General features: G+C 38.4%; 1 protein-coding gene across 45 annotated transcripts in view; it reads right to left on the bottom strand.

Moving 5' to 3' along the window:
* The window catches only part of NTM (neurotrimin), a 966,208-nt gene that overhangs the window by 53,340 nt on the left and 889,238 nt on the right, over positions 1-23,630 (bottom strand). The window lies entirely within an intron of this gene.

Genomic DNA, 23,630 nt, shown 5'->3' with positions numbered 1-23,630 from the left:
ACAAAGACGATGAGGCACCAAACCCTGCACTAGAACAATGAATCTGTGCTTCTCCAAGAGGTGGTGCTAATTATCTTGAGCCACTCCCTTAGAACTATTGGGCTGGCTAAAGTAGGTTATGATTTTACCAACTTGGAAAAAATTAAGAATTTGCCAGATGTTTAGCTTTTACACCATATGACAGAAATTGCCCCTGTTGACCCGGAGCGGTGGCTCATGCCTATAATCCCAGCACTTTAGGAGGCTGAGGCAGGTGGATCACGATGTTAAGAGATTGAGACCATCCTGGCCAACATGGTGAAACCCTATCTCTACTAAAAATACAAAAATTAGGTGGGCATGGTGGCACGTGCCTGTAGTCCCAGCTACTCAGGAGGCTGAGGCAGGAGAATCGCTTGAACCCAGGAGGCGAAGGTTGCAGTGAGCCAAAATCATGCCACTGCACTTTGGCATGGAGACAGAGCGAGACTCTGTCTCAAATAAAAAAAAAAAAAAAAAAAAAAAAAGGAATAAAGGAATTTCCCGTTTCATTTCTTCCAAGTACATTAAATTATATGAACACATGTTGATAAAGTTGTTTAACCTGTATCTATTACAAAGCTTAATTAAAATGGCATATATTATATAAACACACATATCACTTGGAGTTAAGAAGTTAAGTTAATGCCTATTAATAGGCATTCATAGATTGTAAGAAGATTTTGTGTAGATTATGTTTCTCTCTTAAACAGGCTAAATATTCAATTTATCACTTTACCTGTCCTAATGTTTTCTAAATCATCTTCCTCTTTCTACTCTTGACACAAAGGAAAAACTTATTCCAACTGAGTTGAAACATCCCACATTTTTAATTAATTAATCTGGTTGGAATTAATGATGTTTCACTGTTTGGGCAATGAGATATTTTTTGGAAAACATGAGCTTTTCAAGACACAAGCTACTCGGGGAGCGTATTTCTGTTCAGAGTTGTTGTAGACAAAAATCTGCTATTTGAGGAGGGGGCTGGGACTGTCATCTGAAAGCTCCTAATGATCAGCATTATACATCACAATAAAAAATGTGTCTTTGTGTAAACTTGGAAACCAGAACAATTTATAGCTATTTCAAGTTACCCACTGGCTTCCAGACACAAGCTATTCCCTAAAGAGCTCTAGCTCAGCTGCTCTGGTGACAAGAGAATTTCTGAGGAATATTTCATGAAGATTTTTAAAAATGTTTACAACAATGCAAATATTGATGTCTCAGCCCAGTCAATACGGCAATTTATTGTCCTTCAATGTAAACATTGAGCCAGGCTCCCTATTGGTCAATATCTACACTCAGGTAAATAAATCTTTATACTGACTTCAGCAGATGTCAATAGCTACTTATTCCAGATAAGTAAAAGTAAAAACAGGAAGCATTATTTATTTTTTGAGGTAAAATAGCAACTAGTTACATAAAGGCCTGGCAGCATTTCTGAAATATCAATACGTAGTTGCTTTTGGCAATGAAACATAACAATATGATAAGATGTGGGCTTAAAGCTCACAGGTTGAAAGTTTGGAAGCAGAAATTAATAAAAATAAATTTTATCTATGTTATTAATATCACAATACTTTTTTTGAGATTGAAAGCATTCCAAGATTTCTTGTTCTTTTTATCATGTGTGAAGTCAATTTTTGATAGTACTCATAACTGTGAGAATTCACAAGGCTATATTCCTGAACGCTTCCTAGATGATGCAATTAACCCTTATTCCAAATCTAAAAGAAGAATATGTCTGTGCTTGACCCATGTATGATGTGAAAGCTTACTGTCTGGTCATGCTTTGGGCTGCACATATTGTGCTTTGGAATCAAGCTTCAAGGACAATTTCTGGGCATCAGACTTCTGTATTTTTAGATATCTATTCTTACAGACTGGGGTTCTGTAAATGAAAGAAGGTTCTCCCACAGTCATTGGGCAGTGGGTGGACAAGGAACCCAATCATCTATTAAAATGATTTGAAGATGAACAAATGTTTCTGTGTATTTGCATCTGAATTGTGAAAAACATATACGTATATGCATATACTTGTATATATTGAACTCTTTCGGAGGCACACTGAGCTTTTGTGGGCACAGAATTGATTACCTAGACACTGTCAGATATTTACTTAAAAATAATAATATATTAAGAAAAGTATCAATGTTACTTCCCTGTGAGAAAACTCCTGAAACCTTCAGGCTTGTGATTATGCTCCACTAATTGGTGTGTGGACTCACTGGGCTAACAGAAAATTTAGCTAATCAAAACGCAGCCATGCTCTGAAGACCCACTGGTCACACCCAAGGTCATTCCTTTAAAGCTGTTAGAAGAATTTAGTTACTGAAGGAGTGATGCTCCATGTTGATGTGGCACTTTCAAAGCAGCATATGCCAAATAAAATTAAATGAACATTTATGCTCATTATAAAAATGTCTACAATGCAATGGGGGCTGGAAAAAGAAAATGAGGTTTTAAAAAAGATCAAAGCTGCTAATAGTGAGAGAATGTTATTTGCCTCAAGTGTGATTTTCCTCCAGAGGTTTCTTAGCCAATGACTGCCCTGTGGGCAATGACTGTTGAATCTGAGGAACAGCTAGCTATAGGTGGCTTTGAAATCTGGGGTGGGGTTTACAGAACCACAAACAAATGAAAGCTATCCCTACAATTCACAATAAGAAGACTATCAGAGGCCAGGGGTGGTGACTCAGGCCTGTAATCCCAGCGCTTTGGGAGGCCGAGGTGGGCAGATCACCTGAGGTCAGCCATTCCAGACCAGCCTGGCCAACATGGTGAAACCCTGTCTCTACTAAAAATACAAAAATCAGCTGGGTGTGGTGGCATGCACCTGTAATCCCAGTTACTTGGGAGGCTGAGACAGGAGAATCGCTTGAACCTGGGAGGTGGAGGTTGCAGTGAGCCAAGAACATGCCACTGCACTCCAGCCTGGGTGCCAGGGCGTGACTCCATCTCAAAAAAAAAAAAAAAAAAAAAAAAAAAAGAAGAGAGTATCAGGACAGTGTGGTGAGGCCAGGAGATGTCTCCAGTAGACTCGGAGGGTGCTGAGACTAAGTTCACCCGAAAACTAAAGAGCTGGTGCACCCTAGGCGAGCAAACTGCATGTTTCTGCTGGAGTGTCCTGTACTTTCACCATGTTACATTACTATTTCGGGTGGGGGATACTGATGTCAACACAGCCTTCAAGATAAATCCAAGGAACTTTGCTAGCAAACCTCAAATTTATTTTCTGGCATTAGGCAAACTAGTAAATCACAATCCCTGCCCTATATGTACAGAAGGATTTCTCTGATGACCTCGGTTGAGATCCATCAAGGGGAATTTTCTCTCATCAACTGTTTAACAACAATTACTGAGCACCAATGATAGTCCAGAGATGACTTAAAAATTCAACGCTGATGTTCTGAACATGTACCATGAGCTGGAGACAGACTATCAATGAAGTCCTGTTTACCATGGCGGTCTGTTTCAACAACAGTAACCGGCATATAGTAGGAGTTATTGGTCATTATTTGTTGAATGAATTAATAAATGGATGATTACTGAGGCAGTCCTCACCATTAAGAGATGGACAGCCCACAGAGAGTTCTGTGATACAATTATTATAACACGATGTGAATCTTTATATGGAAGGTATGCAAAGGAAATGCAGAGTGTTAAGTCCACAAATCTACAGAGATCTTGTGTGTGTTAATTTTGGTGGGTATGGGCATGTGTGTGGGTGGAGAAGGTGAGTTATTAGGGAAATATTAATAGAAGAGGTAGCACTTAAGCTGAGATTTTTAAAGGCTAAATATAAACAAAGGCCTGGAAGATCAATGGCGGAAAGGATTCCAGGCAGGTGGAATAGCCTGTGCAAAAAATCAGAGGCATGAAGACATATGGTTTTAAGTATTTATACATAATTGTTTGAGCCTGGGATTTAACGTGCAGTAGTGGAAGTTCTGGTGAGCATTAAGTGCGAACATGTGGGCTGGCATCTAAACATGACAAGCAAAAGGACTGTAGGATACTCCTGAGAATCTTGGATGATCATCTGCAAGATTGGAGCGAGAGTCACATGAACAGATCTCTGTGATAAACAGTGCCCTCTAGCAGCAGAATGGAGGAGGAAGCAGAGGCCAAGTCTAAAGACAAATGGATTCATGAGAGAAATAGCACAATGATTCCAGTAAGAGATAATATGTGCCTCAGGTAGGCAGTGGCTGTGGAAATGGACAGAATGTAATATATTAAAAGGAAATTTAGAAGAATTAATTGATGGGACTTGGATATTAATTGAAAAGATAGCTGGAATAAAAAGAAGGCATCTAAAATAACTTACAAGTCTCTGTTTGGGGCCAGCAGATAGCTGTGGTATTCTCTGTGATAAGCAGAACAGGAAGACTATCAGGGGCAGACAGAAGAAACACCATGTTGCATTCCATTTGGATGATCTAAGTTTAATGTGACTGTAAGATATTCAAAAGGGGACGTCTTGTGGATATTTGGATTTGGCTCTCAGGAGTGAAGACTGAGCTGTACAGATCTGCTTGTTACATGTTTATTGCAGCTACATATTGGTGTAAGTTATAGCTGCGGGGTTGAATGAAATACAAGGAGAGGAGCGTAGAGTGAACAAAGAAAGGATCTGTATCAGAGCCACCCTGGAGATTACTGACATTTAAGCAGTAAAGAGAGAGAGAGAGAGAGAGAGAGAGAGAGAGAGAGAGAGAAGCCCAAATGAAGGTTAAGAAAGACATTCCAAAGGAGGAGAACTGTAAAGCAGCATTACGAAGCTAAGACAGAATGTGTTTTCCAAAGATCTCTGGATGGTGTCTCCATACCACACTGACTTTGACAGTCCTCCCACTGAGAGGTGGAGAATATGACCCTGCACCCTTGCATTCCACTTGTGTCTCTTGTGTCTGGGTGGGGCTGCAATGTAGTTTCTGCCTGTGTTCTAGAAACCCAGCCACCTTGCTAGGAGGAAGCCCAAGCAAGGCTATGCACAAAGACTACTTGGAGAGGCCACGTGTAGGTGTTCTGGCTGACGGATTAGCAGAGATGGGTGAAGATGCCTCTAGATGACTCCAGCCCCCCTGCTGCCAACTCATCCCTAGCCTTCAGGTCTTTCCAACTGAGGCCCACAGACATCATGGAACAGAGATAGGTTGATCCCTCTGTGTCCAACACAAATCCCTGACCCAAAGTATCTGAGAGCATAATACAATGATTGGTTTACACAGCAAAGCTTGGGGGTGGTTTCTTACACAGCACTAGCTAAGTACAACAGAGGCCAAGCAAAGGAACAGAAATCCTCAATAAGTATTGGGTAGGCTGTAAAGGATGCAGAGTGTTGAACTAAGGTAAGGAAGAAGTGTCCATTGGACTTGGCAACCAGAAGGCCGATGTTGATGTGAATACCACAGTGATTAAGCGGTGACTGTGGCCCAAAGCAGACTTTCAAAGACTGTTTGATGATTCGTTAATACCAATTATTTTTCGAGTTCTCAATAAACTGTTATATAAAAGTAATTGGCAAATATGCTTTCAATTTCTTGGAACTCAGAAAGTAAGAGTCCTCAAACCAGAATTTACCCATTTCTCATTAAACAGTAGCACAGAGGATGGATTTTTAAATATATATATATATTTTAGCATGATAGAAATAGCACCAAGCTTTTACAATTACCAATATTGTAACAATCTCATTTTGGTTACTATTGTTATTTGTTGGAATATTTGAAAACAAATCCCAAATAATATACTATTTTCCCTAGACATATTTCAAAAATACCTCTAAAAGTAATGCTTTTGATATTACGTTATCAAATATAATTATGGCATCCAACAAAATTAAAAATAATCCCTTATACTGATTGGTTTCAATTCAAGTACGCCCAAATTCTTATTTTTTGAGAACCAACTCTGTGAGACATTGGGCTAGGAACTGAGAGATATATAAGGGAAAAGAAGAAAAGCAAATTAGAGGAAAATCTGCAAAGGTATCAAGTAGGTTTTTAGACATTGCAATGCCACCTTTCATCTCTTTTTATCCTCATCAATAGAGCCTTCTCCTACAATCCTTGGTCACCTGGTACCAGCACAATATATGCCTTGCTATTATCTCCTGTTTTGAAGCAACCTTTTCTTAGAAAAACATCCAGTCAAGGCAAAGTCATTAACTTGTAAGTAAGTCGATAAAATCAATTATAAATTAATAATGAGAAGATGAATGTTTTCCACCTTATATAAGAAACAAGGCAAAAATGTACACTCTTGCCACTTTCAGCCAACAGAAGTCTTACTAGGGCAATAAGACAGGAAACAGTAATAAAAGGGATTACAGATTAGAAAGGAAGAAGTAAAATTATCTTTATTCACCAATCACATGATTGCCCATGTAGAAACATAAGGAATTTACAAAGCACTGCTAGAAATAGAAGTGGATGTTGTGAAGTCACAAAATGCAAAATCAACATAAAAAAATCAGTTGTATTTCTATATACTAGCAACAACATAGTGGAATAGAATAAGCCAACTATCTGTCAGGAGTCCCTAAGACCACCCCTACACCTCGGATAGTCATAGGACTCAGCATAAAGTTGTACTCTTGGCCAAGACTTTTAACAATGGTAGAGTAAGACTTACTGCTGAATCGTAAGGGATAAAGGCACAGGTAGAGGCTGCAGGAACCCATATACAGGCTTCTCTATGCTCTTTCCCTCCCAAGAAGGGTCACACAGAGCACACTCTTCCCCCACAACAAAAATGCAGCACCATGTGGATGATGTTGCTGTCTAAGGAATCCCATTTGAGACTTAGCAGACAATGTTTTAATTGGAAGTGGTCACATAGCTACCTCCTGCCTAAGGTGCACCAAAATTCCAGATTTCTAGAAGGAAAGCAGGTGTCAGCATGAACCACAATTTTTGTGTGATCATTCTATGCACAGTAAGCCACTCTCCTCAGTTAAGGAGTATTTTTTATAAATTTAGGAAACTGTTTACCAGTTGAGTCTGAGACACCCCCCAAAAGCCAAGCTTGCAAGCAATCCTCTATAAATGACAGTAGTCTCAGGTCTGCTATACTAACTTTTATGATCCAAGAATCCCGTTATTGACTATATCTAAAGGAAATGAAATCAGCATGTCAAAGAGATATCTGCACTCTCATATTTATTACAGCATTATTCACAATAGACAAGATATGAAACCAACCTAAGTGACTAACGATGGATGAATAAAGAAAATGTGGTTATCTATACACAATGGAATACTATTCAGCCACACAAAAATAAAATCTGTCACTTCACTGCATTACATGAATGAACCTGGAGGGCAGCAGGTTAAGTGAAATAAGCCAGACACAGAATGACAAATACTGCATGATCTCACATATATGTAGAATCTAAAAAAAAAATTAAAAGTCAATATCACAGAAACAGTAGAACAGTCGTTATCAGAGACTAGCAAGGAGAAGCAGGAGGCGAGGATGGGGAGAAGTTGATCAATAGGTATAAAGTCACAATTAGACAAGAAAAATACATTCTGGTGTTTTAGTGCATTGCAGGGTGACTATGGTTAACAGTAAAATATTATATATTACAAAACAGCTAGAAGAGAGGCTTTTGAATGTTCTCACCACAAAGAAATGAAAAATACATGAGGCGATGGCTATACTAACTACCCTGATGGGATCATTATATAACATATATATATATATACACATATATATATACGTATATATACGTATATATATACATATATATATACATATATATATAAAACATCAAGTTGTACTTCATAAATATGCACAATTGTAATGTATCAGTTAAATCAATAAAAAATTAAAGAAACAAACACCAGTAAAAAACACAGTACTTTAAAAAGAATTGACTAACTTGCTCTGCAATATATGTGGAAAAGCGAAGTATGCAGAATGAGCAAAAAATGAAAAAAAATTCATTTCAAAAAATGAAAAAAAAGAGAAATCAAATTGGAGAATTCATACTATCTCATTAAGTCCTTACTAGAAAGTTACAATAATCAACACACTGTGGCATTGGCACAAGGATTGATATATACATTGATGGAAGAGAATAGTTAGTTCCCAAATACCCATACATATAAAGTCAATTGATTTTTGAAAAGTCACCAATATAATTCAGTGTTAAAAAGATAGTCCCTTCAATACACGTTCTAGGATGACTGGATATCTGAATCAGAAAAATGAAAAAATATCTCAATGCCTTCCTTACATCATATAAAAAATAACTGAAATGGATTGTACATCTAAACATAAAGGCTAAAACTATAAAACATCTTGAAGAGAACGTAGAACATCTTCATGACCTTAGGGTAGCCAAAGATCTTTAGACTTGCCATAAAACTATATATAAGTTTATCAAAAGATAACTTAAGAAAATGAAAATGTAACCCAAAAAATGAAATGAAATGTTTGCAATCCAAATATATCTGGCAAGGTGCTTGTATCCCAAATATATGATACTCATATAACTCAAAAATAACATAATGCATTTTATTTGAAAATGGGCAAAGAACTATCCAAGTGGCCCATGTAAAAATGAAAAGATATTCAACATCATTACTAAGCAGAAAAACATGAATTCACCCTACAATGAAACAGCGCTGAACACTCACTGGACTGGCTAAAATTTAAAGAGACTGGCATATAGTATACTCCATTGAATAGCACAATAAACATCCTTCTCAAGTGCACTTGGAACACATTAAATGCTATGGTTTATCCTCCAAGATAAACCATATACTGGGCTATAAAGCAAGTTCCAATAAATTTTGAAAGACTGAAATCATAGAAAGTATGTTCTCTGACCACAATGGATTGAAATTAGAAATCTGTAACAGAAAAATAATCGAGAAATTCAGAAATACATGAACCTAACAATACACTTCTAAATAACCAATGAGCCAAAGGAAACTTGGAATTTATTACATATAAGAGCAGGTCATCTGGAATTTATTTCAAATTATACTTTGAGATAAATGGAAATGAAGACATAATATATTGAAACTTTAAAAAATAACAAAAACCAAAAACTTTTGGGATGCAGCAAAGCAATACTTAGAGGAACATTTATATCCATAAATGTCTATAATATTAAAAAAAAGAGAGTGACCTTAAATCAATAACCTAAACTTTCAGTTTAATACACTGGACAAAAAGGCATAAACTAAGCCTAAACCAGGCAGAAAGAAGAAAATTATTTTAAAAGAAGACATTAATGAAATAAAAAATAAATTTAAAAAGTCAAGAAAATCAATTGTTGGTTATTTGACAAGGCTTTACTAAGGCTGAACAAAGAAAAAAACAAAAGAAATAGAAGTAAAATTACTAAAATAAAAAATTAAGGAGGAAACATTACTGCCAAACTTACAGAACAAAAAGGATCATAAAGCAATGTTATGAATAATTGTATACTAATAAGCTAGATCACTTAGATTAAATGGACAAATTCATATAGATACAAACTACTGAAATAGGCTCAAGAAGTTGTGTTTTTTGTTGTTGTTGTTTTGTTTTGTTTTGAGATGGAGTTTCACTCTTATTGCCCAGGCTGGAGTGCAATGGCATGATCTCAGCTTACTGCAACCTCTGTCTCTCAGGTGCAAGCAATTCTCCTACCTCAGCCTCCCAAGTAGCTGGGATTACAGGCATGCACCACCACGCTGGCTAATTTTTTGTATTTTTAGTAGAGACGGGGTTTCACCATGTTGGCCAGGCTGGTTTTGAACTCCTGACCTCATGTGATATGCCCACCTCGGCCTCCCAAAGTGCTAGAATTACAGGCATGAGCCACCACGCCCAGCCAAGGAGATATTTTAAAAATCAAAATAGGACTTTAACAAACATATTAAATTAGTAATCAAAAGTTACTCACAAAGAAAGCTTAGGCATAGATGGATCACTGGTAAAGTCACAAAATATTTGAAGAACTGATACCTATTATCTAGAAATTATTTTTAAAAATAGTAGAGGATACGTCTCAACCCATTGTATGCAGCTAGTATTACCCTAATTCCAAGACCAGGCAGATATCACAAGGAAGGAAAACTACAGACCAATATCTTTTATGAATACATATGTGGAATTCCTCAGGAAAAAAAAAAAAAAAAAAAAAAAAAACACTAGTCAACAAAACCTGGCAACAAATAAAAATGATTACGCACTATGAATCAATGGAATTTCTACCAGGAATGCAAAATTGGTTCAACATCCAGAAATTGATTAATATAATATACCATTTCAACAGAATAAGGTACAAAACCACACAATAATCTCAAGAGATGCAGTAAAAGCATTTGATAAAATCCAACACTCCTTCATGATAAAAAAAACACACAACAAACTAGGAATAGCAGGAAACTTCCTCAATCCGAACCAGAACATTTTTGTAGAAGTGGATCTACAAAAAACAAAAACAAAAACAAAACAAAAATCATAAAGCTAACATTATACTTAGTGGTAAAAATCAAAATGCTTTCCCTTAAGATCAGAAACAAGAGAAGGCTATCTCCTCTCAACCAGTTCTAGTCAACATTGTACTCTATGTTGTATCCAGGACTACTAGGCAAGAAAATGTAATAAAAAGCAAACTGGAGGAAGGAAGTAAATCTATTCACAAATGACAGGATCTTATATACAGTGAAAACTAAGAAATCCACTAAAAAAAATTCAAACTAATAAATGAGCTCAGAAATATTGCAGGATACAAGAGCAATATGCAAAAATCAATTGTATTTCTATATATTTTCAATAAACAATCTAAAAATGAATTTACAAAAGCAACTCTTTTTACCGTAGTATCAAAAAGAATAAAATGCTTAGCAATAAATTTAATAAAATAGTGACAAACTTTACTATGCAAACTACAAAATATTATTGAATGTCATTAAAGAAGATCTAAATAATTGGGAAAACTTCCCATGTTCATGAATTGGAAGGCTTAATGTTAAAATGGCAATATTCCCTAAATTATTTTACAGATTTAATATAATTGCTATCAAAATAACAGCTGGCTTCTTTGCTGAGATTGACAAGCTGATGATAAAATTTGTATGGCAATTCAAGGGTCCTAGAAGAACTAAAACAATATTGAAAACAAAGAACAAATTTAAAGAACCCACATTTCCAGATTCCAAATATCACTATAAAGCTACAGTAATCCAGACTGTGATACTGGCATAAGGAGAAATACATAGAACAATGGGATAAAATTGACAGTTTAGGAGCAACACTCCCACCCCACAGTTATGATCAAATGATTTTTGGCAAGGGTATCAAAACAGTTCCTAGGGGAAGGAGTAGTCTTTTCAACAAATGATGCTGGGGAAAACTAGATATCCACATGCAAAAGAATAAAGTTGTATCTTACTACATACTAAATACAAAATTTAACTCAAGATACATAATATAAGTTCTATAACTCTTAGAAGAAAACACAGGGATAAATCTTGATGACCTTGGAATGGTTTCCTATGGAAATGATTTGTTTCTTATATGACAATCAAAAGCACAAGCAACAAAAAATGTATAAGTTGAACATCAAAAAAATTTAAGTTTAGTGCTTCAAAGAATACCAAGAAAGTGAAATGACAAAGAATGAGAGACAATATCTGCCAATCATATATCTGATTAGGAATTCATATATAGAAAATATAAAGAACTCTTACAGCTCACTAAAAAAAAAAAAAAGACAACCCAATTAAAAATGGGCTAAAGTTCTAAACAGACATGTCTCCAAAGATGTATGAATGGCCAATAAGAACATCAAAAACAGTTCCTATCATTAGCCCTCAGGAAAATGCAAATCATAACCACAATGAGATCACACTTCCACCCCACTAGGATGGCTATAATAAAAAAGATGGATAATAACAAGTGTTGGTGTAGATGTTGAAATATTGGAAGAGTCATATGCTAAAGTGAGAATGTACAATGGTACAGCAACTTTGCAAAATAGTCTGGCAGTTCCTCAAAGGGTGAAATGTAGTTAACCTACCACCCAGCTATTCCACTCCTAGGTATAAAACCAAGAGAAAAGAAAATATATGTCTACACAAAAACTTGTACATGAATGTTCATAACAGTATTACTCACAATAGTCCCAAGGTGGAAGCAACCCAAATGTCCATCCACTGATGAATGGATAAACAAAATGTGGATCCATACAGTGTAATATTAGTCATAAAAACAAATGAACTACTGATAGACTCTACAATATGGATGGACCTTAAGAACATTATGCTAAGTCAACAAAGCAGTGGCAAAAGACAAAAGATATAAACCGAACAGGCAATTTTATAGAAAAAGAAAGTACACTAGTGGTTGCCTGGCCTTAGGGAAGGTAATGTGCTGGGGGGTGAGATGAAGGTCACTTACAAAAGGTATGGGTTTCTGTTGGGGATGATAACATTTTTCTAAATTGATTGTATTGCACAACAATAAACGGGTAGTTGTATAACTTTTAAATATACCAAAACTCACAAAATTATACATTTGTAAATGAATAAGGTGTAAGCTATGTTAATCATATCTCAACAATGCTAACAACTGCATTTATTCATTTTCATGTATTACCTTTTAATTAGTTAATTGTAATACACACATACACAAAGCACAATTCCAAAGAGCAAGGATGTGGAACAAGTGGAAGGCTTATATATTTTTGGTGTAAAGCGGCTCAACCATTTTTCAAAATTGTTTTTTATATCTTAACATACACTTGTGACACAGCCATTCTAATCCTTGCTATTACCCCCCAAAAAAGTAAAAAAAAAAATAAAAATAAATTTATAAAGACATATACAAAAATGTTCATAACAGTTTTAGTCATAATAACCTTAAACTAAAAATAACCTAAATTTCTTTGGACAAATAAACTGATTTTTAAAAATATGGTTCTCTGACCAGGCACAGTGACTCATGCTTGTAATCTTAGCAATTTGGGAGGCCAAGATCGGCTGATCACTTGAGGTCAGGAGTTCAAGACCAGCCTGGCTAACATGGTGAAACCCCGTCTCTACTAAAAATACAAAAATTAGCTGGGCATTGGTGGCACCTGTAATCCCAGCTACTCCGGAAGCTGAGGTGAGAGAATCGCTTGAACCCAGGAGGCAAAGGTTGCAGTGAGCCGATATCGTGCTATTGCACTCCAACCTGGGCAAACGAGAGAGATTCTGTCTCAAAAAAGAAAATAATAATAAAAAATAAAATATATGGTCTCTTAATAAAATGTAAACTATATGCAAAAATAAAGACAAATCTCACAGAGACTATGTCAAGTGAAGAAGCCTTACTCTAAAGAATATATACGTATGATCTCATATGAATAAAACGCTATCCGTAGTTATAGAGGCCACACGAGTGGTTGCCTGGAGTAGGACGCTGAGGAGAGAGAATGACTAAAGAAATGTAAAGAGACATGAAGGAATGTTCTCGCTCGATGGAGAGGTTTTATATTTTGATTAAGTTGGTTACCTGACTGTATACAATTTGTCAAAAGTCATCAACCTTAAAATGTTTGAAAGTCTTTGTATGTAAATTATAGCCCAGTAAAGTTGAGTTTTAAAACCACACACAAATCACTTGATGAAGTAAATGACACATCTCTCAGGTGTATGTTCAGAGTTGACTCCTGAGTGATGGGATTTTTCTGGAACATTTTTACATTGTTGGCTTGCCAGGAGCCCCCAGTCAACAATGACTGTGCTTTCTCACCCTCAACAGCCACAGTGCAGTGGTCACTCTCAGTCAGTATCATGTCATGAAGAGAACACTGAATTGAAGTCAGAAACCTTGATTCCAATCCTGGCTGTAGCATTTATGGGTGATGCAATTTGTATATAAATCCTGGCCTGTAAAATATCTATTCTTCAGGCTTGTTTACATAAATTGAACTACATTATAAGACCTATATAATAATCTGCCATATTAGATGGGATTGTTATTGATGAGTATTTTATTAACAGAAGGCAACATAGAGAAGTACCAAACGGTAGTGAAATATTTGCCCATTTTAGTGGGATAGACGGTGCAGTCTAGCCCAGGAAGCATGACATCCTGCTGGTTGGAGCTTGAGTCATTCTGTTTCCATTGAAGCACAAAAGGAAGACTTAATTACCTTTGGTAACTTATTTAAAAACAAAATCACTAGTATTGCCCTCTCTGTCCTTCTCTCCAGATCTCTACACCTGCAATAGAATGCATACGAAGCAGACGGTAGTTGAACAACTTCCATACTTTATTTTCTTGTTCTATTGTATGTCCTCGGCTTCCCTGCTTCAAAACAATATCATGCCCTTTCTCCTGAGTTTTTTCCTTTTGCCTCACACAGCAGCCACTCTTACATTTAATTAAAGTGGTCACATGGAGTCTGCCTTCAGATTCAATTTTGCTTTTCTCCCCTCTTGCTTTGGAATGCAGGGGATAAAGGCATTAGGAGAAGCAGAGATCCAGATGATCCTTCGATTATGCCCAAGTCTGAGGAATCATGACTGACCATGTCTGGGTCATCACTGAGGCCACTCAGGAACAAGCTGGCATTCTCTGACCTTCCCCAGGCTGCCCACTGAGACTCACCATCCTTTCCTTTCTGCTAGAGAGAGCGTAGACAATGTTACTATTCTCATAGCAAACTGGACTTTTTCCTTCTATGGAACTAAAATATTAGCATTAGCTCAGACCTATCTTTAAAAATAATGCAAAATTATCCTAAATTTAACGCACTATCTAAAACACACACACACACACACACACACACACAGAGAGAGAGAGAGGACCCCACACCACAAACACACACATACACACACACACACACACAGAGGAGACCACACTCCACACATCCACACCACACACAGACACACACACTTGAATTAGTAATCACAACCATTAGCCAAACCTAAACATATGGGCAGCTTCTTCCCTCACCAAACACGATTGTATGCCAAACTTCTAAAACAAAAATAAAACAAGATGCAGAAGGTGTTTGATGATTTTATGTGTGTTGTGAAATTTTGACTGAACTATTCATGGAGTCTGAATTCCTCATTTGAAAAAGGAGGGTGATGTCTACTTTGCATGGTTGTGATAGAGATTGAAATAAAATAATAGTGTATACGTAGCTAGCAGAGTGCAACACAGATGTGAGGCTGAGGCATCATGACTTAAAAATTGTAGTTATTAAGAAAAATATGGGATTCTAGAAGTCTACCTTTAATATAAGTCTTATTGGAACTAAGGTCTAACTACTATGTTGTAAGGAGAAAGTTTTACATAACTCTTGCTCCATAGTGGCAAAATCTTTACACATTTAAGCATTCAGTAAAAATTTGTTAAAGTCATTATTTGGTAATATTATAGGTATGAACCCAGGGGCTTGGATTCTACAATCTAGTTCTTGACTCCTAAGAGCCTGTCCCTAACAGGAACATGAAAGGCAGTGTTCTTGTGGTTGTGTTTGACTATCATTTCTTTCTATTAGTTTATTTCCTGAATGCAAAAAAAACACCCATATGCACTCCATTAAGAAAGTTTCATGGATATGATATGATTTTTCAATGAGGTTTCTGGGTTTTTTTTGTTTTTTTTTTTTTGAGATGGAGTCTTGCTCTGTCACCCAGACTGGAGTGCAATGGAGCGATCTCGGCTCGCTGCAACATCTGCCTCCCCAGTTCAAGTGATTCTCCTGCATCAACCTCTGCCTCCCCAGTTCAAGCAATTCTCCCACCTCAGCTGGGATTAGAGGCACCTGCCACCATGCCCGGATAATTTTTCTATTTTTAGTAGAGACAGGGTTTTGCCATTTCAGCCAGGCTGGTCTTGAACTCCTGACCTCAGGTGATCCACCCACCTCGGCCTCCCAAAGTGTTGGGATTACAGGTGTGAGCCATGCACCCAGCTCCCATGAGTTTTTTTTTTTAAAGGTATCTGAATGAAAATTAAAAAAAAAAAAAAATCATCCAAGAACCCAAGATAAGGGCTTGCGTGTGGATTTGAAACCCATCAACTATGGGTAAGGAAAGTGTGAGGGAGGGAGATACGTAAATTTCAGTAGATTTAAAGAGAGTCATGTAACTAAAGAGTGAGGAATGTATATATTTAAATGATAGCATGTCTTCCGATGATGTTTGCAATGTTTTAGTAGCAGCATCTCTAAGTAACCAGCTATAATATATTACACTGTATTTTTTAAGTTAATTGATTTTATGCTCCTGGACTGCACTTCTAGTCTTTCATCTACTGAATCTTTGCTATGAGACTAAATGAGCTTTTCAGAGGAAAAATCCTTTGATCTAGCTACTCCAGGGAAAGGGAGTACAGCAGACATGTATAAGATACTGCTTGTCCTTATTACAAGGTGCTAGCACATGAAAATGTTGATAAATGGTGGGTGGCCCCTCCCGTCTTTCCTCTGCTATTTGAACTGCAGTGTTGGTTATTTCCGTCATGATTTGATACGCCAACTTTCCCTGATGAGGACTAACAACCTCTAATGCTTGTAGTCTCTATAAAGATCATTTGGTTTCAAATAAAACATTTACATTCAAAATCTATTAATGGCCTTCTCTGGTTCAAATGTCAACTAAGTTATTCAACAATATGTGCTTGTTCTAAAACAATTAGGCAAATTCCATCTACACACACATTCACAGCTTTTCCTCTCTGAAACTCCTTCCACCAGACCCAAAACTGTTATGAGCATATTAAATCTATGCTATCAACAAAAATCAAAACTTCAGAAAGATCTAGGGCACTTGGATTCTCTTTCTCACCACCATGTCTAAACAGCAATAAAACCTCATTCAAATCACATAATCCTTCTAGCTCTTGAGTTCTCTGTCTTTAAAACTTAGATCATGCTACTGTCTCAGAGGAAGAGATTAAAAGCCTCTCCTCATTACATGTGGCTTCTATTTGGCTCTACCTAGAGTTATATTCATGTAAAATCATATTTAGATAGAGGTTGGGTCTCAGTTTCTGCTTCATCCCTCCCTGCAGCAATCTTAGCAGGGCTCACACTGCTCTGAGGTTGTAATGAGGCGGCCTCAGATGCCACTACTAGGACAGATCCAGGGCTCCCCACTCCACACTGGCAACAAGAGAGATGGCTATGCCTGTGCCTTAGCTGGACTCACCTCAGGGAGGCTCTAGCTGCCTGGGAGACTGGGCGACACAGCTGGACTTGCGGAGAGTTAATGCCCCTTGCTGTAGGCTTCAACCAGGAGTGATCAATCCCTGTCCCTCCTTCCCACAAAAGACTGTCCTGAAGTGCAGTTGTTTCTTGTGACTCTCCTGAGCCATCCCATAGACCAGGCAGGCAGGTGTATTACTGTGAACCTGTAACCAGCTCCAGAAAGGTCACCCCTGTACTTGCTCTCCCTCCTGCTCTGTCCTGCTTCATGTTTTTCCTCATTCTTCCTCCTAGAACAGCACCCTGTGTTAAGGAAGTAGCAGACATGATTTTGGCTTAAGTGTCTGTCTTCTAGGAACCCTGAACCTGGACAGGTGGGAAATCCCAACAGTGTATCCCATCTCTGCCACCTGCGGATGTGTTTCCCTGGGCTTTCTACTTAACTCCTCTCTGCCTGTGCTTCAGTTTTCTCATCTATAAAACGTGGAGAAGAATAGCACATACTTCATTCAGGTTGTTATTAGAAATGAATGAGTTAATACATAAAAAAAATGCTTGAAATAGTGCCTGATGCACAACGACTGCATGCCACGGGTTGGTGTCATCATCACCATCACAATGATCATGCCAGTGCTCCCTACTTCCCATCCACCTTCACTGTCATGTTTCCTGCATTTGACCCAGCTTTTCATAAATTCCATAAGCCCCTAGATTCCCGGCAATGTATTCCCCTTAGATTACATTAACATCAGTGCTGGTTTTTATGCAAGGGAAGAATCCAAACTGGTACAACATTGCTACCAGTTTGAGGTTCAGAAGGCAAGGGAGAGTTTGGGTTGTTTCTGGTGAACGAATTCAGAAAAGATTTGATGTCTCCTCTGGACCAGAAATGAACTTTAGCGTATTAGAAAATTTAAGTAATTTGCCCAAAATCTCATGGCTGGAAAATGGCAGAACAAGAAGTAAAGCCTACGTTTGCGTACAAAACCATCTCCTTTCAACCATGCCAGAAGCTGTTCCAGTTTTTATTTTTTAATAAAAATATATCTGGCTCTTTGAGCATTTTTATGTTTAAAATGCTTGAGATGGGTAATCCCATTTCATTCACAGAACCACCATACAAATTAAGAGTAGATTCTAATGCCACAGTATTTAAAAGACAATACTACGAGAAAAGTGAAAATTATTTGCTCCAAGTCTCCATAGCTGGTACACATGCAGCTAATCCTCTCACCTTAGCTACTACTATGGTTTGAATGTGTCCTTCAAATTCCATGTGGTGGAACCTTCATCCCCAAATTCATATGTTGATTGGAGGTGGAGCTTTTGGGAAGCAATTAGGATTAGATAAGGTCATTATGGTGGGGCCTGCTGGTGGGACAGGCACAGCTTTATAAGAAGAGAAGGGAGACTTGAGCTGTCATCCATGCTCTTGCCCTTTCCATGAGAGGGCAACAGAGGTAAATACATGAGCAGCTGCTTGAGGTTGCCTTTGGCAGTTATGTCTGTCGGAAACATTGCAAGGCCTGGGTAATGAGATAATAAAGTTGAAAATACTTGGGAAGTAAAAGTGGTATGTAAATATAAGATACCACTGTCTTCACATGTGATATGCCTGGGAGGAACTCTTCTTATTTTAATTCATTCATCTCTTTATATCTTGCCTTTATTTTTAAGAGATTTAAGATGGTTTATGCAAATATACAATACAGTGTATGTATAAATGCAAGCCTGCCTAAGCAAAACACGAGATGATAAAGCCATAAAGGAATAGATTGACAGATTTTATTACATGCAAATCTAAAACTGTTGTATGACAAATGATACTATAAAATAAAGTAAAAGACAAGAAAATAACTGGGAGGGATATCTGCACCCTTTATAACCTTTATAAAAAAGGGTTAACGTCCATAATGTATACACTGCTTTTTCAGATCAATTTTCAAAATGATAAACAACCCAATAGAAAAATGGATGAAGAATATGGACAAGCAATTCACAGAAGAAATACAAATATCCAATAAATATATGAAATATGAAAAAATATGCACAATAGCTTCCCTAGTAACTGGAATATGAAAATTGAAATAGGTGCAATTTCCTGCCTATCACACTGGCAGAAACGTAAACTATTGAAAGTATCTGTTATGGGCCAAAGGGTGGGAAAATAGACATTTCTGTTTGTTGGTGAGATTGCTAATTGACATAGCCTTTATGGAGGGCAAGCTGGGTGGCAATATAAACATTTAAAATAAACATGCCCTATGACCAAGCCATTCCGTTGTAGGAATCCTGTCTACTACTAAAGGCAATTCTGGTGAAGATTCCAACAGAAAACAGGAAAACTGGAGAGAAAGCTTCCATCTTCTTAGAGAATGCCAAAATAATCGTGTACATAATATTGGTAGAAATATGAATGGTAAAAGCCGTTCTGACGAGATTTCAGACAGAAATAAAGGACATGTTATTAGAAACTGGAGGAAAGGTAATCCTTGTTGTAAAATTGCAAAGAGCTTTGCTGAATATTGTTCACGTTCCAGTGTTTTGTGTGGAAGGTAGAGCTTGTGAGGGATGAAACTGGATATTTAGCTTAGGAACTTTCTAAGCAATGTGTTTGAGGGAGCAGTTTGATTCCTCTTGACTGCTAATAATAACATGTGAGAAAGGGAAATGAATTGAAGATGGAATTGTTCAGGAAAAAAAAAGGAACCAGAACGTAAAGATCTGGAAAATTCTCAGCTGGTCCGAATTATACAAAATGTAAAAGCATGTTTGGAAAAGAAAGAACACTAAGGGCGTGGCAGACTCATTGCTTGATAAGGAAGTCAGCGTGGATGTGAACCACAAGCTAATCAGCTGACCTAGCAGGAGAACTTCTGGTTTAAACTGAAGGAAACAGAAGGAAGGAAGGTTGTCTGATTTCTTGGATTTTACCTAGAACTACTCAGCTATGAATGTGTGCAATTCTTCAAGACAAGGGAAGAACGACCCAAAAAAGTGATTCAGAGATCACCAGGGCAGCCTCCTAAGTTTCATATGAGGTCAGGGGAGCACCACCTCAGTTTCAACAGGCCAGATGGCCCCCTTGAACAGCCTTGGGGTTGGAGCTGCCCAAGGCCATGGAGCTGCAACCCTGCCCTGCAGAACTGTGGGCGCAGGACTGCCACCCCACTGGGTCTGGAAGGCAGAGCATCAAACAAAAGAAGATATATTCCTGTAGCAAAAGAGGACTATTCTTGAGCCTTAAGATCTCATGGAGTTTGCCTTGTAGTCTAGTCTTGCCTGGGAACCGTTGCCCCTTCTTTCTTTTCAATTTCTCCCCCTTGGAATGGGAATGCCTACCCCATTCCTGTCCCACTATTGTATTTTGGAAATACATAACTTGTTTTCCCATGTTCACAGCTGCAAAGAAATTTTGTCTCACACCTGATTAAGATGATATTTAAATGAGACTTTGGACTTTAGAGTTCATTCTGGAGCGAGTTAAGACTTTTGAGGCTGTTGGGATGGAATAAGTGTGTTGCACATGTAAGAAGGACATACATTTGGGAGGAATGACAGGGTCAGAATGCTATGGAGTAGATGTTTGTGTTCCTCCAAAATTCCTATGTTGAAGACCTAATCCTCATTGTGATGGTATTAGGAGATGAGGCATTTGGGAGGTGATTAGCTTACGAGGGTGGAGTCCTCGTGAATGGAATTAAAGTCCTCGTAAGAATAGATAAAAAAAGAGATGATCCTTCTCTCTCTCCCCCTGCCATGTGAGGAAGCAGCAAGAAGGCAACAACTTACAAGTCAAGAAGAGAGCCCCCACCAGACACTGAATCTGTCAGTGCCTTGACTGGAACTTCCAACCTGCAAAACTGTGAGAAGTAAATGTCTGTTGTTTAAGCCACTCCATCTATGGTATTTTGTTATAGCAGCCTTAGTCAACCGTGGCCAGTGGCAAACAAAATGGCCAAAAGTCCCACCCTTGGGTAAAATACACAGAAATCCTGGGAACCTGAGGCAGTGGGGAGAAGGAGCCAAAAGGCCTTGGTAGGTGGTTGGTTTGCTAATTTGGGGACAAATCAGGCAGCTGCTAACAAATAATTCTCTGGGACTATGGTGGAAGGGGCTACTGCCCTGGAGAGACTCCTGGGGGAATTATTTCAGAGTCCCCCTGGCTAATAAGGCACCAGCTACAGGCACAATGCCAGCAGGGTTCCGTGGATTCTGTATAGGGTGGGGGTGGAGGATGCCAGTAAAACAGATAGCTGAATGCTCATTGCACTTGGCTGGGATGGGCTTAGAGTTGAGGAAAGACCACAGACTTGGAGTGCTCTTTATCCAGCTGGAGCCTCCTTAATGGATGCCCATGGGGCAAGCCCTGGATCTGCAGCTGTCGATGGATTCAACCCAGTCACCCACCTTGGCTTTATGGGTTTTCAGTTTAAACTTCGTGCAAAGTTTCCCCACTGTGACTAGTCAAACATGATCTGTCTGCTTTCTCCCTTCCTCCACTCACAATATTTATACTCATTTCTTTTATTGAAATCTATCTGCTCCCATTCTATTAAAAAGGTTTGACTGGCAGCTCCTATTCTACTGAAACCTGCAACCTATCTATTCTCCAGACAATGAGATACAAGCATTCTATCTTCCATTGTGCTGGCACGGCCTTCTGTGCTTCTGCCTTCAATCTTAAAAGGCATGTCAGAAATGCCTCCATCTAACTAGGTCTGGAACATGGGCAGTCTGAACTACCAGTTCTGCATTTAACCAATTCTGACTAAACAAAGAAGAAGACCAGGATCTTTCCTCTTCCCAGTGCATGCCCTACTGGTATGCCCTGCTCTTCAAAGTATTATAACCACGGCAAAAGGGAGGAGGAAGCTGCAGTGCTGTGAGCCGTGCGTCTGTGCCCCCCAGGTGCACTCATAACTGGCATTCCAATACATGCCCCAGCGATTCCCATGCAGTACTTTCCATCCACCGTGGGGTGGGCTTCAAGACAACCTGATTTTAAGCATGAGGAAATGGAGGCTCAGAGAAATGAGGTGACATGTTAAGGCCCTTGAGAGCTTGTTTGGAAGTTCTGGCAGGGAGGTGGAGCCACCTCTACTCTCTTGGCCAAAGAGTTCTTATCTCCATAAAAAGCCCACCTTTTCTACAGATAAGGAAGAAGACACTGGGTTAGTGCACCCAGCCACCCCTAAATGGAATGAGTGACCTGCGTCACCTTCACATCAGGCTAACAGACATGTGCATGACCGTGCAGCTAAAACGAGAACCAGCAACAGTGCCCAAATCCTTCGACTCCTAAGCATGCTCTCTTTCCATGACCCCATTTCACATCTGAGCTGCCAACGGCTCTGTCTCCCTTTCCTAAAGAAAGTAGGTCTACAAGTGGTGCTCAGGAGAAAACAAGGCGAGATGCCTAGAAGCCACTCTCTAAACCAGCCTGAGGCTCATGACTTAATGGGTTCAGGGCACATTTGAACAGAAGGTTCCGTGGTGTTCTACTGCCAACACCGGATAATTCAGCTGTGTTTTAGGCCATGCCCCGGAGACGAAGGCTTTCCCATCTGGTGACCCTCTTTTGATGTAGCTCTTCAGCCAGAACAAGCCAGTTTGGCCAGATTGTGAATAAAATCATTTTTTGAAATATTTTATAGTCTAGTTGTACAAACCACAGACAAGTCAAAACCCGAGGACACAAGCTTGTACCAGAATTTCAGCTTAACACTGAGTGCCATATTAATAATTTTTTTGTGGACTTTTTAATTCATTTTTTGGTTTCTCTTACTTCTAATTACATCATCCACATTTTGAAGCACCTCTGTCCAAAGCAAAGTTTAGAACTTTCTTAAAAACAAATAGAACAAGCAAAAGCAAAAATAAACATTCCCATGGTAATTCAGAGACAGCATGATGCTGTGGAAAGACTGTTACAAAAATAGTTACACTGTCTGGAAACCTTACTTTTGCTACTAATTAGCTGTGTGACTTTGAGAAATTCACTTAATTTCTCTGAACTTATGTTCTCTTATCTTTAAAAAAAAAAAGGCTGGGTGATTTTTTAGATTTAACATTGATTCATCCATGGGCTTCCGTGGTAACTAAAGAAAGACTGCCTGTTTCAGCCAGGTTTTAGCTTTGAGTTTGGTGCCAGGCTGAGTTCTTTGCTAATTAGAAAGTCACAAAATAACTTAAATGCTAGTCCTCCTCCTCCCTTGTTTCCCATTCACAAAAGTTTCCATGTTTTCCTAAGGTACATCTCTCCTGCTCCCGCCACCCAGGCAAATGCCTTCATCAACTGATTCTACTCAAAACTGTCCTAGTTGCAGGTGTTCGAGACCAGCCTGATCAACATGGTGAAACCCCGTCTCTACAAAAAATACAAAAATTAGCTAGGCATGGTGGTGCACTCCTGTAATCCCAGCTTCTTGGCAGGCTGAGGCAGGAGAAT

This window comes from Homo sapiens, chromosome 11 (genome assembly GCF_000001405.40).
Source record: "Homo sapiens chromosome 11, GRCh38.p14 Primary Assembly".
Classification (NCBI taxonomy): Eukaryota; Metazoa; Chordata; class Mammalia; order Primates; family Hominidae; genus Homo; species Homo sapiens.
Note: the sequence above shows the minus strand (reverse complement) of the source record. Positions and strands in the feature narration are given on the sequence as shown.